Source organism: Homo sapiens, chromosome 11 (genome assembly GCF_000001405.40).
Source record: "Homo sapiens chromosome 11, GRCh38.p14 Primary Assembly".
NCBI lineage: Eukaryota > Metazoa > Chordata > Mammalia > Primates > Hominidae > Homo > Homo sapiens.
This window is the reverse complement of record NC_000011.10, coordinates 6184131-6200707: the sequence shown is the minus strand read 5'-3', so window position 1 is coordinate 6200707 and position 16577 is coordinate 6184131. Positions and strand designations below refer to the sequence as shown.

The following is a 16577-nucleotide window of genomic DNA, read 5'->3' as shown; positions in this document are numbered from 1 at the left end:
GGAAGGCAGGAGATGAGCCTGTAGAACTCGTTTCCTGAGGGCAGTCTGAAAACAGAATCTGGCTCCAGGAGTAGAGAGGGCTGTGATTTCAGACGGGTGCCCAAGCACTTGACTCCAGGGACAGCGCCACCCTCTGCGGCAGTGCCAAGCACTTCCCTCAAGTTTGGGATCTATAGAGGAGCTTTTGTGTGGAAACGTGGGCAGACTTAGGTTGAAATAATGGAGGTGGGGAGCAGGAAAGGGAGTTGTTAGATCTTGTTTATTATGGTCCTTCACTAATTTTTCCTGCATGGTAGTGTAGCCCCCTGACCTCTACCTCCTGCCTCCTCCCAAGCAGAATACATGTTTAAGTCAAAGTCTACAGATGCCAGTGTTGCACATAGGGACTCCACAGCAAGTACCTGTTAAATGATGATAACAGTCATATGCAGTGGGATGAAAATAACATGATCCACACCCCCAGACTCCCCTCCGATTGTCCCCTCACCTCCACTCTTAGGCTCCATTGTTACCACTGGACATTACAACGGGCTTTTTCTGAATGTGAAGGTTTCCAGGAGTCGGTCTCTGATCTGCTTGGTGCGGGCCCCATAGATGAGGGGGTTGAGGGCAGGTGGCAGCAGCAAGTAGATGTTGGAGAGAAGGATGTGCACAGGCTTTGGGACAGTGTGATGACCAAAGCGGTGTGTGAGGTAGGAGAAGAGACCAGGTATGTAGAAGGCCAGAATGACACAGATGTGAGAACTACATGTACCAAAGGCCTTGGCATGGGCCTCCCGGGTAGGTAGCTGCAGCACAGCATGGGCAATGAGTCCATAGGAGCCAGTGATACCCAGAATATCCATACCTGAGATGGCCAGTGAAAGTGCCAGACCATATAAGTTGGTGGCCTGTGTGTTACCCACCACCAGTTCTACCACTGCCATGTGTGCACAATAGGTATGGCCTATGGTCTTGGCTTGGAAGTGCTCAAACTTTGCCACCAGCAGTGGGAAAGGTACAACAATAGCCACAGCTTTCAGTGCCAGGGCCAAGGCTGCATAACCCACACAGGCTTTGGTGACCAGGACAGGGTAGTGCAGTGGACGCCCTATTGCCGCAGCACGATCACAGGCCATGGCCAAAAGCACACCTGATTCCATGGCAGTCAGTGCATGTACAAAGAACATCTGGACCAGGCACACAGCATATGGCACAGATCGGGGCCCAAGCCACAGCACAGCCAGCAACCCTGGGGCTATAGATGTGGCTAAGCCCAGGTCTGTGGCTGCCAGGATGGCCAACAGTAGAAACATGGGCTGGTGCAGTGTGGAGTCTATCCACACCACTGCCGGCAGTGCTCCATTGCCCAGCAGGGCCAGCAGATAAATGGGCCCAAAGACCAGTGTCAGCCAAGTCTGGGCACTTCCTAGCCCTGGAAAGCCAGTCAGTATGAAGAAGTTTGGGTGTAGGAAGGTGGAATTGAGTTGTAGAGTTTCTGCCATTCTGTGGTGGGCACAACTTGAGGGCTCATGGGGGCATGACTCCTGACAGGGAAGATAAGGGGAGAGATTTTGGGGGTCTCACAGTGGCACAAACCCATCCATGGCATACGTGTAGGAGTAGTGCAGGGCTGGGAGGATCACAGGTTTATAACTTTTGGTTAGGGGGGTTTGGATGGATAATTAAGGTCGCAATTCTAGCTAAGATAGGAGAATCCTTTGCTCCTAAAAGTCTATATGTATTGTAGTGGGAGGAAGGGGTAGTGAGGAAGAGGCTGCCTGCTGCAGTGGTTGGTATAGATAGCCTGAGAGAGCCTTCTAATTGGATGTCAGCAGAGGGTGGAGTGGAGATGAATACTTTTCTTCCTCAGGGTCCAAATAGAGTCAGTCTCAGTCTCTATATGAGGAGAAAGCCAGTGCTGGGGGCAGGGTGGGGAATCAGGCTTCCGGCTGTCCTGTCCCTGCCTGTGTATCCTTGGGCAAGATCTCTGGACCTCAGCTTCTTCAGCTGTATAGGCCTGGTGGGTACAGTGATATTAAGGTTTGCCCAGCTCTGAGCAATTGCCCATTCTCAGCACCAACCATCCAGGAAGAGAGGAGGCAGAGTATAAAGAAAGGGAGAAACCGTAGTGGGAGGCAGATGGAATCTGGAGTGAATCTGGGAGCTTGGTGTGGCAAGGGAAAACTTGCTGGGTTTTTGGGGTGCAGGGTGCTTACGTTCTGAACTTGATGCTGAACACCAGCTGGAGAGTTGAAGTTGGGGCTGGGAAGCAACAGAGAGAGAGATGGCAGTACGAAACGGGACTTTTCTTCTCCGTTTCCTTTCCTTCTTCACGGTACAAAAGTGGGTCCCACTAGAGTCTCATTCCTGGCATGCCAGAGCGAGTGGAGGTGACATAGAGGGAGAAAATGGCACTCAACTCAGAGTAGCAGCCATCTGAGGAAGAAGCATCTCTGACATTGGAGGAGGCAGGACAAGTAGATTGACTTAGGTGGGATCCAGCCCACCTAAGAAGCTTAATACATGTTGAATGGATAAATGAATGAGGAAGAAATCACCAGCAGAAGGCTTGACTGGGAAAGATCTCGAGCACTGTGTGTTGGCAGCTTCTCTTCGCTTTAATCAGTGCCTGTGGGGCTCTTTATGTGGCTGTTCTACCTGCTTCCCTCAGGGCCTTTCTCCCTCCCACCTGTGCCACATTAACTCTGTTTTGTATCTCTTTGCTCAGTGCTGATGGGCTGGTGACTCAGGAAGTAGAGTAAGGAGGCAGAGATGGGGGCAAGCCAGGAAAGAGACTATCAGGTGGAAAGATCTGGGCAAGGAACACTTTCTCAGGGAGGTCTTTGCTGGCTCACTGAAGTCCGGGAGAAAATTCCTTGGTTTATTCTTTAATAGCATCTAGCCCACTCTGTTGTAATTTCTTGTCTCTCAATTCCCCACGAGACAAAAAGAGTTGCAGATATTGCTTTTTATTAGCTACAGTGTCTCTACTGCTTACCACAATGTCTGGCATGTAGTTAGCTATGAATAAATATATATTGCTTTTAAGTGTGGGACAGACTGCTAGTCCAAACAGCTTTTGCTGACTAATAGGGGCTCCTACAGTTTCAGGAGCTTTAGATATCCATGAAGAAAAAGAATTATTCACCATCAACCACAAGTCTACTGAATACAGTTCTTTCTATTATAAGGAGACTTAAACTCACCACACTATGTAAAGTCATACAATAAAGACCACAGGGCCTATTGGAAAAATGAAGTTAGGGGCACAACACTCAAAAACTTCATCAGTGACACATTTGAAAAAAAGATGGGCTGGGCACAGTGTCTCACACCTGTAATCCCAGCACTTTGGGAGGCCAAGACAGGAAGATCACTTGAGCCCAGGAGTTGGAGACCAGTCCGTGCAACACAGTGAGAGCCCATCTCTACAAAAAAATTAAAAAAATTAGCCAGCCACAGTGGTGTGCACTGGTACTTCTACCTACTCGAGAGGCCGAGGCAGGAGGATCACTTGATCCCAGGAGTTCAAGGCTACAGTGAGCTATAATCATGCCATGCACTCCAGCCTGGGTGATAGAGTAAGACCCTGTCTCTAAAAAATAAATCCAATAAAATGAAATTGGGCAGAAAGTTGTAATACCAGATGTGAATGGGTGTGGCTCATAACGCAAGTGGTGAACTGAAGTAGCTGATCGATGTTTGAGGTGTGTGCATGTGTGCATGTTGAGCTTTCTTACTCAGCTCAGTTCAGCTGGGTTCAGTTTTCTGGGTTCACCTACTTTCTTGGAAGTGGAGTTACATGCAAGCAAACACGAAATTCACATTATTCTCAGTCCCCTAATACATATGTCAATTGTCTTTGAATAATTTGTATTTTAAAACTAGCATTATAGCAGAACTAGTTGAATCTCTTTTCTGCCTGGCCTTGTGTCATGTGGTGAGAATACAGTGGCAATAACAAGACCCTGCTGCTCTCAAGGAGTTCACAGTCTAATGGACACAGTGATCTAAACAGTTGTCGAAGGGTTGTTAAAGTAATTGCCTTAACTCAAGTCAATACCAGATACGATGGCAGCACAGAGAAAGAAGACTTTCACTCTTGCTGGGGGAGTCAGGGAAATGTCTGAATCATAGTAGTGGTTAAAAGTCTTGTGGGGTTTCCTGTGTACGTGCACTGCTCTAAGCCTTGACCTCACAACAGTCATTTGAGGTGGGCACAATTCTTTCTTCCATTTTACAAAAGAAACTAAGAGACAGACGTTAACTTGGGGAAGGTCATATAGCTAGTAAATAGCAGAGTTAGGATACTAACTCTGTCTGGCTCTAGCATACTTGCTGTTAGCCACTACCTCAAAAATTGTAGCTGAGGTTTAGAACATGAGTTTTTAGAATAGGTGGAGCAAAATGCACCCATTCCTGGGAGAAGGAGTTCAGGAGATTTTGGGATTGGCAGGTGATCCTAGGATTGCTGAATGGAGAGATGTACAAAGAGCTGTAATTATGTGGCAGTAAATGGTGAGCTGTCATCAGTTCAGGGAGGAGAGGAGTACTGAGCAGGTGGGAGCAGTCGGTTAAGAGCCATGAAGGAGAGGGTTAGGAAAAAGTGCTCTTGTCTTCAAGAGAACACTAATGGAACTTTTGACTGCCTTGGACACTTGCTCTTTGTGCAAAGATTGTTTGTAAGGTAAATTACAGAATCCATAAGCCCAAAAAGTCCAAATTTGAAGTCATTGGGTTCTTGGAAATCTACTGTGTTATGCATTTCCCATTCTCCAGTAATCCAAGATACACTGGGAGATATCATAGACTTCGTCTTTAGAAGGTTCCTTGGTTAGTCTCCCAAGCTCCAGTTCATACTTATAGAAGCTATCTAAGCACATCTTGGGAACCAACTGGCTGGTCTTTTCCTGTGACGTTGACCATTAGAGGAGGGGATCTGACACCTGTGATCTGGGGGCTATATACCAGAGCCTGCTCCCCAGAGCAGGGTGTCAGCTCTCTGTGAGGAGTTGGGTGGGGTAGGGAGAGGGGAGGCTTGTTGGATTTCTTAGTTGCTGTTAGACTGACAAGAAAAATAGGATAGGAGGGTTCTGTCTGGAGACTGACTCTGATTTTCTCACATTTTTGGCTAGTGCAGCTACCACCAACATCTATAGAATAGGGTTCTTAGATAACAGCTGGCTCCATGTGGGCCTGTTCTATTGTTTTCCGCTTAAAATGATCCATGAGCAAGAACACATATGAGTAGCTTATTACTTTACATGATAGATTACAGATCAGAAATCTTGGGTCCTCGCGGTGTTGTACAGCACTAAATCCTCTTCTGGAAACCTACTAAAGCAAACTCAATTGTCAAATCCCAATTCCTGGGTCAGTATGAGATCCTTTTGTGACTAATGGTAGCATAGTAGCCCAGGCCTCCTTCACTCAGTTTCAGGAGAGGTAGAGAGACCCTGTAAGATCAGGTTTGCCCTACCCTATGGAGATGTGGAAGGAGTCGTGGAACCACTATGCCCATTCTTCTAGTATTAGTTTTACTCCTCTACTTCATGCTTCCCAGCCCTTCCATGAGCAGGTCCTTAGTATTCCATAAAGCTCTGGAGCACTGGGCATCCCCAGTTCCTAGGAGGATAGTAGATGTGCTTGCATTGAGGTTGTAGATTTGAGAAGGGAATTGTTCTCCCTCTCCATCACAGTAGGATCTTCCAGAAGTCAGATTATGGTAGGGGTATGGAATAGATCACATCTAGTTTTTAATTAAACCTCTTTCGATCTTGTCTACTCTCCTTATCCATGTCTCCTTCCTCTGCAATAGGGTCATTCCTTCCAATCCCAGAATCTCTGGGACTGACACTAACTTTGACCATATATAGAAGTGACTCTATGCATGCGGAGGTCACAGTTGCCATCTTTGTTTCCGGGGCAACGCTATACCTGTAAAATTGGGTTAGGACCCTGATACTCTCTTAACTTAGCAAATCATTCTATTCCTTCAAGAGATGTTTTTGACTAAGCCTCTCTGACCAGTAGTGGCTGAGGAGAACATTGCTGGGATGGTCTTCCAATGACTTTTAAAAATAGAAGACAAGTAGTTCCCTGTAAGGGTTCTCTAGCATTTAGAAGAGGACTTTTGAAGTGACTCACCTTGTTGAGATTGGGTTGAGGTTATTGCTCAAGAAATTAATTCCCTGATGTTGTTCTCTGAGGTAATAGATAACACTTCTATCTTTTCCCATGATTATCTCCCTCCCTCTGAATTCACATAGCATGGGTGACTCTTACAACCACAAAAAGTACAAATGTCATTCTCAGAATTCAGCAATCATTGTTCAGAACTCACTACATATCAAGCAAAGTACTGCAGATGGGTAAACAGCCTCTCTCATCATTACATTTGTTATGTTGGTGTCCCCCTACTAAATTCACATGTTCCAGCCACAACCCCCAAGGGTATGGTATTTGCAGATGAGACCTTCAGGAGGTAATTAGGGTTAGATGAGGTCATGAGGGTTGGGCCCTCATGAATGGGATTAGTGTCTTTATAGGAAGGGGAAGAGAGAGAGATATACTCTGTGTCTCTCCTCCCACACTGTGTGAGGACACAGTGAGAAGACAGCACGCTGTAAACAGTAAGAGAGTCCTCACTAGGAACTTAATCTGTTGGCAGTTTGATCCTGGGCTTGCTGACCTTCAGAACTGTGAGGAAGAAATGTCTGTTGTTTAAGCCACCCAGTCTATGGTATTTTGTTATGGAAGCCTGAGCCAACTAAACATCCAAACAGCCACTAAGACCTATCTGCTTAAGAGCCCTGTATATGGCTCCTCTCTGTCTCCAGTATAATATGACCTATTTTGCACCTCACAACCTTATTGTGGAATATTGCAGCAACCTCATGACTGATCCTCTGGTCTATAATGTGCTTTTTTGTATTTTATTTTTTGTCATATTTTCGAGAAGTGACAAGTGGATACAAAAGTGTAAAGAATAAGAACATGCACATGTATCAACACACCCAGAACTGACGGTTATTAACGCTTTTTCCTACTTGCTTCCAATTCCTTTTTAATAAAGACAGTAACAATTACAGGTAAAAATGTATCTTTTTAATCCCCTGTAGTGCCTCATTCTCTCACCTTAGAAACAATAATTATCATGAATTTAGGGTGTACTCTTCTGATTCGGTTTTTAATGCTTTTGCTATAATAGTTGGTGCTTTTAAGTGTTTACATAAATTATTTACTACTGTATATAGCAAGTTAAGTTTTTGAGTTCTTTTTATGTGAATAAACAGATCTTTATTATCCCTTTGAATTGTTATGTAGTTCTGTAGCATATGATTATGCCAAATAGTTATCACTGATAGAGTGCAAATTGTTTCTGGTTATCTTGCTATGTATACTGCTATGGATATCTTTATAGATGTCTCCATTTTCACATATGTGAAAGCTTCTCTTGAGCATATAACTAGAACTGGAATGGCTAGGTCATAAGGCATGTACATTTTTATCTTTAGCAGGTATTGTCAAATTGCTCTGCAAAATAGTTGTTCCAATTTGTATTCCCACTAGCAATTTTATGAAAGATCCTGTTGTTTAAAATATCCTTGAAAACACTATATTATCAGACTCTTATGTTTTTGTGAATCTGATTTATCTTTATTTTTCTTTCTTTTTTTTGGTTCAGGTGCTCAGGTGAATTTAATTAATTAGAAGTATTATCTCGTTTTAACATATTTTTTCATATATTTGTTAGTCATTTAGGATTCCTCTCCCTTGTATTTATTTGTAGAAATTCTCTATGTATTCAAGATACTAACATTTTGTTTGATGTTGCAAATATCACCTTCCAGTTAGTTGCCTTTTAATTTTATGTATAGTTTCATTTGTCTTACAGAACATTTAAATTTTAGCTGAAAGCACATCAAGGACATGTGGTTTTTGTATATTATTTATTTTTTCTTACCCTGAGGTATAAAGACAGTATTATATATTTTCTTTTTATAGTGTATAGACCTTGACAACACTTAGTATTGCCTCCCAATTTATGATGTATTGAACACTTACTGTGAGTGAGGCACTGTGCCAGGCACTCTATGCATATCATTTCATTCAATATAATATCCCTATGAGGTAGACACTATTATTATTTCCATTTTACAGATGAAATAGCTGAGGCATAGGTGGCTTACTTCACTTCACAAAACTTCTAATGTGTCTTGATTTGAATTTAGGTCAGTGTGAGTTCTAAACAAGTTTTCTTAATGATTATGCAGTGTCAGGGTTATACGGGCTTCATAAAACTAAATCAGGTTGGTTTTCACTTTTCTCTCCTGGGTAATTTCATTTCTCCTCAGTCTGCATTTCCCCCTCCCTTCCCTAGACAATGCACCCTTCAGGGTTGAAGGAGCAGCCACATTGCTTTGCCTACAATCTGTCGGGAAATAAGATGGCGTTTCTCCTGACCTCTGAATTTATTTGAATATTCTTGCATCCACCCAAATAATTATCTTCTTTATCTTTTCCATTATAGCTTTTTGTCCATGATACAGCTAGGACTTTCTGCCTCCCCTTTGCAGTTGCTATTGTGAATTCTATGTCATACAAACCTCCCTGCCAAAGGTCTACAACTGTGATTTTCAGCTTCCCTAAAGAGTCAGTGAAAAGTTCTGTAATTTCCTGGCCAGCATCCTTTTTCTCCTCTTGCTTCTCTTGCATACTCAAAGCAATGTAAGACACTCTATAGATGTTGCTGTACTCCAAGTGTGTCACTGGCCAGGGCTGAGAATTTATTGCAAATGTCAGCTTTGTCCATTTTCACATTACTCAAGTCTGCAATGTGTCACTGCCACTTCCCTATTGGCCAACCACCTTTGTGTATGTGTTCCTAGCCCATCCTTCTTCATTTTTGTGTGGAGAAGGTAATATTATAGAGTTTTTTGGTAGTCTATGGAGCCTGAATATGGACTCCATAGACTGTTTAGTTCTGGCCAACATGTCATCACAGAGTTTTCTTCTTCAATTTGATGTTTGTTTCTTCTGCTTCACCTGTTGTCATGAAACCTCTCAGCTTTCTTCTTTCCTTGGGCCCTCACCACAACATCCTTGAAGAACTGCATTTACCTCATTTTGCAAATTTTGTTACATTTGACCATCACCGTGCTAAAATCATCCTACAGTCATATTCATACTATTCTTATTTTTTGCTTTTCATCTTATTAGGTTGTTTGCTTTTTTCCAAATCATTTAAATGTATTTAAAAATACTGTTTATTGTCCATGAAAATACAAATTTTGCAAGTATTTACTGCAACCAAAATATAAAGATATGTAAAGAAAATTTTATTATTCATTTATGTATTTATTATACTTTAAGTTTTAGGGTACATGTGCACATTGTGCAGGTTAGTTACATATGTATACATGTGCCATGCTGGTGCGCTGCACCCACCAACTCGTCATCTAGCATTAGGTATATCTCCCAATGCTATCCCTCCCCCCTCCTCCCACCCTACCACAGTCCCCAGAGTGTGATATTCCCCTTCCTGTGTCCATGTGATCTCATTGTTCAGTTCCCACCTATGAGTGAGAATATGCGGTGTTTGGTTTTTTGTTCTTGCAATAGTTTACTGAGAATGATGATTTCCAATTTCATCCATGTCCCTGCAAAGGACATGAACTCATCATTTTTTATGGCTGCATAGTATTCCATGGTGTATATGTGCCACATTTTCTTAATCCAGTCTATCATTGTTGGACATTTGGGTTGGTTCCAAGTCTTTGCTATTGTGAATAATGCCGCAATAAACATACGTGTGCATGTGTCTTTATAGCAGCATGATTTATAGTCCTTTGGGTATATACCCAGTAATGGGATGGCTGGGTCAAATGGTATTTCTAGTTCTAGATCCCTGAGGAATCACCACACTGACTTCCACAATGGTTGAACTAGTTTACAGTCCCACCAACAGTGTAAAAGTGTTCCTATTTCTCCACATCCTCTCCAGCACCTGTTGTTTCCTGACTTTTTAATGATTGCCATTCTAACTGGTGTGAGATGGTATCTCATTGTGGTTTTGATTTGCATTTCTCTGATGGCCAGGGATGATGAGCATTTTTTCATGTGTTTTTTGGCTGCATAAATGTCTTCTTTTGAGAAGTGTCTGTTCATGTCCTTCGCCCACTTTTTGATGGGGTTGTTTTTTTCTTGTAAATTTGTTTGAGTTCATTGTAGATTCTGGATATTTTAGCCCTTTGTCAGATGAGTAGGTTGTGAAAATTTTCTCCCATTTTGTAGGTTGCCTCTTCACTCTGATGGTAGTTTCTTTTGCTGTGCAGAAGCTCTTTAGTTTAATGAGATCCCATTTATCAATTTTGGCTTTTGTTGCTATTGCTTTTGGTGTTTTGGACATGAAGTCCTTGCCCATGCCTATGTCCTGAATGGTAATGCCTAGGTTTTCTTCTAGGGTTTTTATGGTTTTAGATCTAACGTTTAAGTCTTTAATCGATCTTGAATTGATTTTTGTATAAGGTGTAAGGAAGGGATCCAGTTTCAGCTTTCTACATATGGCTAGCCAGTTTTCCCAGCACCATTTATTAAATAGGGAATCCTTTCCCCATTGCTTGTTTTTCTCAGGTTTGTCAAAGATCAGATAGTTGTAGATATGCGTCGTTATTTCTGAGGGCTCTGTTCTGTTCCATCGATCTATATCTCTGTTTTGGTACCAGTACCATGCTGTTTTGGTTACCGTAGCCTTGTAGTATAGTTTGAAGTCAGGTAGTATGATGCCTCCAGCTTTGTTCTTTTGGCTTAGGATTGCCTTGGCGATGCGGGCTCTTTTTTGGTTCCATATGAACTTTAAAGTAGTTTTTTCCAATTCTGTGAAGAAAGTCATTGGTAGCTTGATGGGGATGGCATTGAATCTGTAAATTACCTTGGGCAGTATGGCCATTTTCACGATATTGATTCTTCCTACCCATGAGCATGGAATGTTCTTCCATTTGTTTGTACCCTCTTTTATTTCCTTGAGCAGTGGTTTGTAGTTCTCCTTGAAGAGGTCCTTCACATCCCTTGTAAGTTGGATTCCTAGGTATTTTATTCTCTTTGAAGCAATTGTGAATGGGAGTTCACTCATGATTTGGCTCTCTGTTTGTCTGTTGTTGGTGTATAAGAATGCTTGTGACTTTTGTACATTGATTTTGTATCCTGAGACTTTGCTGAAGTTGCCAATCAGCTTAAGGAGATTTTGGGCTGAGACAATGGGGTTTTCCAGATATACAATCATGTCATCTGCAAACAGGGACAATTTGACTTCCTCTTTTCCGAATTGAATACCCTTTATTTCCTTCTCCTGCCTAATTGCCCTGGCCAGAACTTCCAACACTATGTTGAATAGGAGTGGTGAGAGAGGGCATCCCTGTCTTGTGCCAGTTTTCAAAGGGAATGCTTCCAGTTTTTGCCCATTCAGTATGATATTGGCTGTGGGTTTGTCATAGATAGCTCTTATTATTTTGAAATACGTCCCATCAATACCTAATTTATTGAGAGTTTTTAGCATGAAGGGTTGTTGAATTTTGTCAAAGGCTTTTTCTGCATCTATTGAGATAATCATGTGGTTTTTGTCTTTGGCTCTGTTTATATGCTGGATTCCATTTATTGATTTGCGTATATTGAACCAGCCTTGCATCCCAGGGATGAAGCCCACTTGATCATGGTGGATAAGCTTTTTGATGTGCTGCTGGATTCATTTTGCCAGAATTTTATTGAGGATTTTTGCATCAATGTTCATCAAGGATATTGGTCTAAAATTCTCTTTTTTGGTTGTGTCTCTGCCCGGCTTTGGTATCAGAATGATGCTGGCCTCATAAAATGAGTTAGGGAGGATTCCCTCTTTTTCTGTTGATTGGAATAGTTTCAGAAGGAATGGTACCAGTTCCTCCTTGTACCTCTGGTAGAATTCGGCTGTGAATCCATCTGGTCCTGGACTCTTTTTGGTTGGTAAACTGTTGATTATTGCCAGAATTTCAGCTCCTGTTATTGGTCTATTCAGAGATTCAACTTCTTCCTGGTTTAGTCTTGGGAGAGTGTATGTGTTGAGGAATTTATCCATTTCTTCTAGATTTTCTAGTTTATTTGCGTAGAGGTGTTTGTAGTATTCTCTGATGGTAGTTTGTATTTCTGTGGGATCGGTGGTGATATCCCCTTTATCATTTTTTCTTGCGTCTATTTGATTCTTCTCTCTTTTTTTCTTTATTAGTCTTGCTAGCGGTCTATCAATTTTGTTGATCCTTTCAAAAAACCAGCTCCTGGATTCATTAATTTTTTGAAGGGTTTTTTGTGTCTCTATTTCCTTCAGTTCTGCTCTGATTTTAGTTATTTCTTGCCTTCTGCTAGCTTTTGAATGTGTTTGCTCTTGCTTCTCTAGTTCTTTTAATTGTGATGTTAGGGTGTCAATTTTGGATCTTTCCTGCTTTCTGTTGTGGGCATTTAGTGCTATAAATTTCCCTCTACACACTGCTTTGAATGCGTCCCAGAGATTCTGGTATGTTGTGTCTTTGTTCTCATTGGTTTCAAAGAACATCTTTATTTCTGCCTTCATTTTGTTATGTATCCAGTAGTCATTCAGGAGCAGATTGTTCAGTTTCCATGTAGTTGAGTGGTTTTGAGTGAGATTCTTAATCCTGAGTTCTAGTTTGATTGCACTGTGGTCTGAGAGATAGTTTGTTATAATCTCTGTTCTTTTACATTTGCTGAGGAGAGCTTTACTTCCAAGTATGTGGTCAATTTTGGAATAGGTGTGGTGTGGTGCTGAAAAAAATGTATATTCTGTTGATTTGGGGTGGAGAGTTCTGTAGATGTCTATTAGGTCCGCTTGGTGCAGAGCTGAGTTCAATTCCTGGGTATCCTTGTTGACTTTCTGTCTCGTTGATCTGTCTAATGTTGACAGTGGGGTGTTAAAGTCTCCCATTATTAATGTGTGGGAGTCTAAGTCTCTTTGTAGGTCACTCAGGACTTGCTTTATGAATCTGGGTGCTCCTGTATTGGGTGCATATATATTTAGGATAGTTAGCTCTTCTTGTTGAATTGATCCCTTTACCATTATGTAATGGCCTTCTTTGTCTCTTTTGATCTTTGTTGGTTTAAAGTCTGTTTTATCAGAGACTAGGATTGCAACCCCTGCCTTTTTTTGTTTTCCATTTGCTTGGTAGATCTTCCTCCATCCCTTTATTTTGAGCCTATGTGTGTCTCTGCATGTGAGATTGGTTTCCTGAATACAGCACACTGATGGGTCTTGACTCTTTATCCAATTTGTCAGTCTGTGTCTTTTAATTGGAGCATTTAGTCCATTTACATTTAAAGTTAATATTGTTATGTGTGAATTTGATCCTGTCATTATGATGTTAGCTGGTTATTTTGCTCGTTAGTTGATGCAGTTTCTTCCTAGTCTCGATGGTCTTTATATTTTGGCATGATTTTGCAGCGGCTGGTACCGGTTGTTCCTTTCCATGTTTAGTGCTTCCTTCAGGAGCTCTTGTAGGGCAGGCCTGGTGGTGACAAAATCTCTCAGCATTTGCTTGTCTGTAAAGTATTTTATTTCTCCTTCACTTATGAAGCTTAGTTTGGCTGGATATGAAATTCTGGGTTGAAAATTCTTTTCTTTAAGAATGTTGAATATTGGCCCCCACTCTCTTCTGGCTTGTACAGTTTCTGCCAAGAGATCCGCTGTTAGTCTGATGGGCTTCCCTTTGATGGTAACCCGACCTTTCTCTCTGGCTGCCCTTAACATTTTTTCCTTCATTTCAACTTTGGTGAATCTGACAATTGTGTGTCTTGGAGTTCCTCTTCTCGAGGAGTATCTCTGTGGCATTCTCTGTATTTCCTGAATCTGAATGTTGGCCTGCCTTGCTAGACTGGGGAAGTTCTCCTGGATAATATCCTGCAGAGTGTTTTCCAACTTGGTTCCATTCTCCCCGTCACTTTCAGGTCCACCAATCAGACGTAGATTTGGTCTTTTCACATAGTCCCATATTTCTTGGAGGCTTTGCTCATTTCTTTTTATTCTTTTTTCTCTAAACTTCCCTTCACGCTTCATTTCATTCATTTCATCTTCCATTGCTCATACCCTTTCTTCCAGTTGATCGCATCGGCTCCTGAGGCTTCTGCATTCTTCATGTAGTTCTCGAGCCTTGGTTTTCAGCTCCATCAGCTCCTTTAAGCACTTCTCTGTATTGGTTATTCTAGTTATACATTCTTCTAAATTTTTTTCAAAGTTTTCAACTTCTTTGCCTTTGGTTTGAATGTCCTCCCGTAGCTCAGAGTAATTTGATCGTCTGAAGCCTTCTTCTCTCAGCTCGTCAAAGTCATTCTCCATCCAGCTTTGTTCCGTTGCTGGTGAGGAACTGCGTTCCTTTGGAGGAGGAGAGGCGCTCTGCGTTTTAGAGTTTCCAGTTTTTCTGTTCTGTTTTTTCCCCATCTTTGTGGTTTTATCTACTTTTGGTCTTTGATGATGGTGATGTACAGATGGGTTTTTGGTGTGGATGTCCTTTCTGTTTGTTAGTTTTCCTTCTAACAGACAGGACCCTCAGCTGCAGGTCTGTTGGAATACCCTGCCGTGTGAGGTGTCAGTGTGCCTCTGCTGGGGGGTGCCTCCCAGTTACGCTGCTCGGGGGTCAGGGGTCAGGGACCCACTTGAGGAGGCAGTCTGCCCGTTCTCAGATCTCCAGCTGCGTGCTGGGAGAACCACTGCTCTCTTCAAAGCTGTCAGACAGGGACATTGAAGTCTGCAGAGGTTACTGCTGTCTTTTTGTTTGTCTGTGCCCTGCCCCCAGAGGTGGAGCCTACAGAGGCAGGCAGGCCTCCTTGAGCTGTGGTGGGCTCTACCCAGTTGGAGCTTCCTGGCTGCTTTGTTTACCTCAGCAAGCCTGGGCAATGGCGGGCGCCCCTCCCCCAGCCTCGCTGCCGCCTTGCAGTTTGATCTCAGACTGCTGTGCTAGCAATCAGCGAGACTCCGTGGGCGTAGGACCCTCCGAGCCAGGTGCGGGATATAATCTCGTGGTGCGCAGTTTTTTAAGGCGGTCTGAAAAGCGCAATATTCGGGTGGGAGTGACCGGATTTTCTAGGTGCATCCGTCACCCCTTTCTTTGACTCAGAAAGGGAACTCCCTGACCCCTTGCGCTTCCCAAGTGAGGCAATGCCTCGCCCTGCTTCGGCTCGCGCACGGTGCGTGCACCCACTGACCCGCACCCACTGTCTTGCACTCCCTAGTGAGATGAACCCGGTACCTCAGATGGAAATGCAGAAATCACCCATCTTCTCCGTCGCTCACGCTGGGAGCTGTAGACCGGAGCTGTTTCTATTCGGCCATCTTGGCTCCTCAAGAAAATTTTAATAATCTTTTCATCCTGTCCTCTCTCCAGCCTCTCCTCTACTACCAAGGTACCTTTTATTAACATCTTCTTATGCATCTTTTCACACATTTCCCCATACTCATATGTACTTATACAAACATAAATATTTTTAGTTTTTAGTTTTTTTATTTTTATAATTTTGGAATCAAATAATATATATATTTTCCATAATTTCCTTTTAGTCATTCAATAAATAATGAGCACCTACTTTATACTGAGTACTATACTTAAATATTTAACAATAACATATTGCATACATTCTTTAGGTCAATAGATACAGCTGTTCTTTTTAAATACAGTTATGTGTTGTTTAGTGATGTGGATATGTTCTAAGAAATACATCATTAGGTGATTTAGTTGTTTTGCGAACATCATAGAGTGTACTTACACCAACCTAGGTGGTGTAGCCTACTATGCATCTAGGCTGTAGGGTATAGCCTATTGCTCCAAAGGTACACACCTGTATAGCACGTTACTGTACTAAATATAGCAGGGAGTGGTAACACAATGGTAAGTCTCTAAACATAGAAAAGGTAAAGCAAAAATATGACACTATAATCTTATGGGACCGTTACTGTATACGTAATCTGTCTTTGATTGAAATGTCATTATGTAGTGCACGACTGTAGCCAATTTCACATACACATACATTTTTCATTATAGGTTACTGTATATTCGCTTGTAGTTGTAAGAAACAATACAGAGAGATTTCAGGTAATATTTGTCTAATTTCCCCCAATAATAATACCTTGCAAAACTATAGTACAGTGTCCACAACCAGTAGAGTGACATTGGTAAAATCAAGATACAGACTAGCTGCAGCACTGCAAAGATCCCTCCTTTTGCCCTTTTATAGGCATATCTACCTCATTCCTTCCTTCCTACACCTCCAGTGATAACCCCTAGAAACCACTACTCTTTTTTTTCCATTTCTATAATTTTGTCATTTCAAGAATGTTATATAAATGAAATCCTACAGTATGTAACCCTTTGGAATTTTTTTGACTCAGTATATAAATAGTTCATTCATTTTACTACTAAGTGGTTTTTTTTTTTTTTTTGAGATGGAGTTTTCACTCTTGTTGCCCATGCTGGAGTGCAGTGGCACGATCTCAGCTTACTGCAACCTCTGCCTCCCAGGTTCAAGCGAGTCTCCTGCCTCAGCCTCCCAAGTAGCTGGGATTACAT

At 42.2% G+C, this 16577-nt stretch overlaps 1 protein-coding gene across 1 annotated transcript, besides 4 other annotated features; it reads right to left on the bottom strand.

Annotated features, from left to right (window-relative positions):
* Positions 1–521: 521 nt before the first annotated feature.
* OR52W1 (olfactory receptor family 52 subfamily W member 1) lies at positions 522–1484 on the bottom strand. Its single transcript, NM_001005178.1, has one exon. It carries the CDS (start codon positions 1482–1484, stop codon positions 522–524), a length of 963 nt encoding a protein of 320 aa, NP_001005178.1.
* Positions 669–1169: an enhancer, noted in NCBI's record as "H3K27ac hESC enhancer chr11:6220769-6221269 (GRCh37/hg19 assembly coordinates)". NCBI's record gives its function as "activates a minimal SCP1, AML or CMV promoter by ChIP-STARR-seq in primed H9 embryonic stem cells {active_cell/tissue: H9 hESC(primed)}" and the evidence as "EXISTENCE:reporter gene assay evidence [ECO:0000049][PMID:30033119]".
* Positions 1170–1670: an enhancer, noted in NCBI's record as "H3K27ac hESC enhancer chr11:6220268-6220768 (GRCh37/hg19 assembly coordinates)". NCBI's record gives its function as "activates a minimal SCP1, AML or CMV promoter by ChIP-STARR-seq in primed H9 embryonic stem cells {active_cell/tissue: H9 hESC(primed)}" and the evidence as "EXISTENCE:reporter gene assay evidence [ECO:0000049][PMID:30033119]".
* Positions 14309–15007: an enhancer, noted in NCBI's record as "OCT4-NANOG-H3K27ac-H3K4me1 hESC enhancer chr11:6206931-6207629 (GRCh37/hg19 assembly coordinates)". NCBI's record gives its function as "activates a minimal SCP1, AML or CMV promoter by ChIP-STARR-seq in naive H9 embryonic stem cells {active_cell/tissue: H9 hESC(naive)}" and the evidence as "EXISTENCE:reporter gene assay evidence [ECO:0000049][PMID:30033119]".
* Positions 15008–15708: an enhancer, noted in NCBI's record as "OCT4-NANOG-H3K27ac-H3K4me1 hESC enhancer chr11:6206230-6206930 (GRCh37/hg19 assembly coordinates)". NCBI's record gives its function as "activates a minimal SCP1, AML or CMV promoter by ChIP-STARR-seq in naive H9 embryonic stem cells {active_cell/tissue: H9 hESC(naive)}" and the evidence as "EXISTENCE:reporter gene assay evidence [ECO:0000049][PMID:30033119]".

Excerpts from the sequence above, each read along its gene's own strand:
- OR52W1 (NM_001005178.1), bottom strand. The coding sequence starts at position 1,484 with ATGGCAGAAACTCTACAACTCAATTCCACCTTCCTACACCCAAACTTC.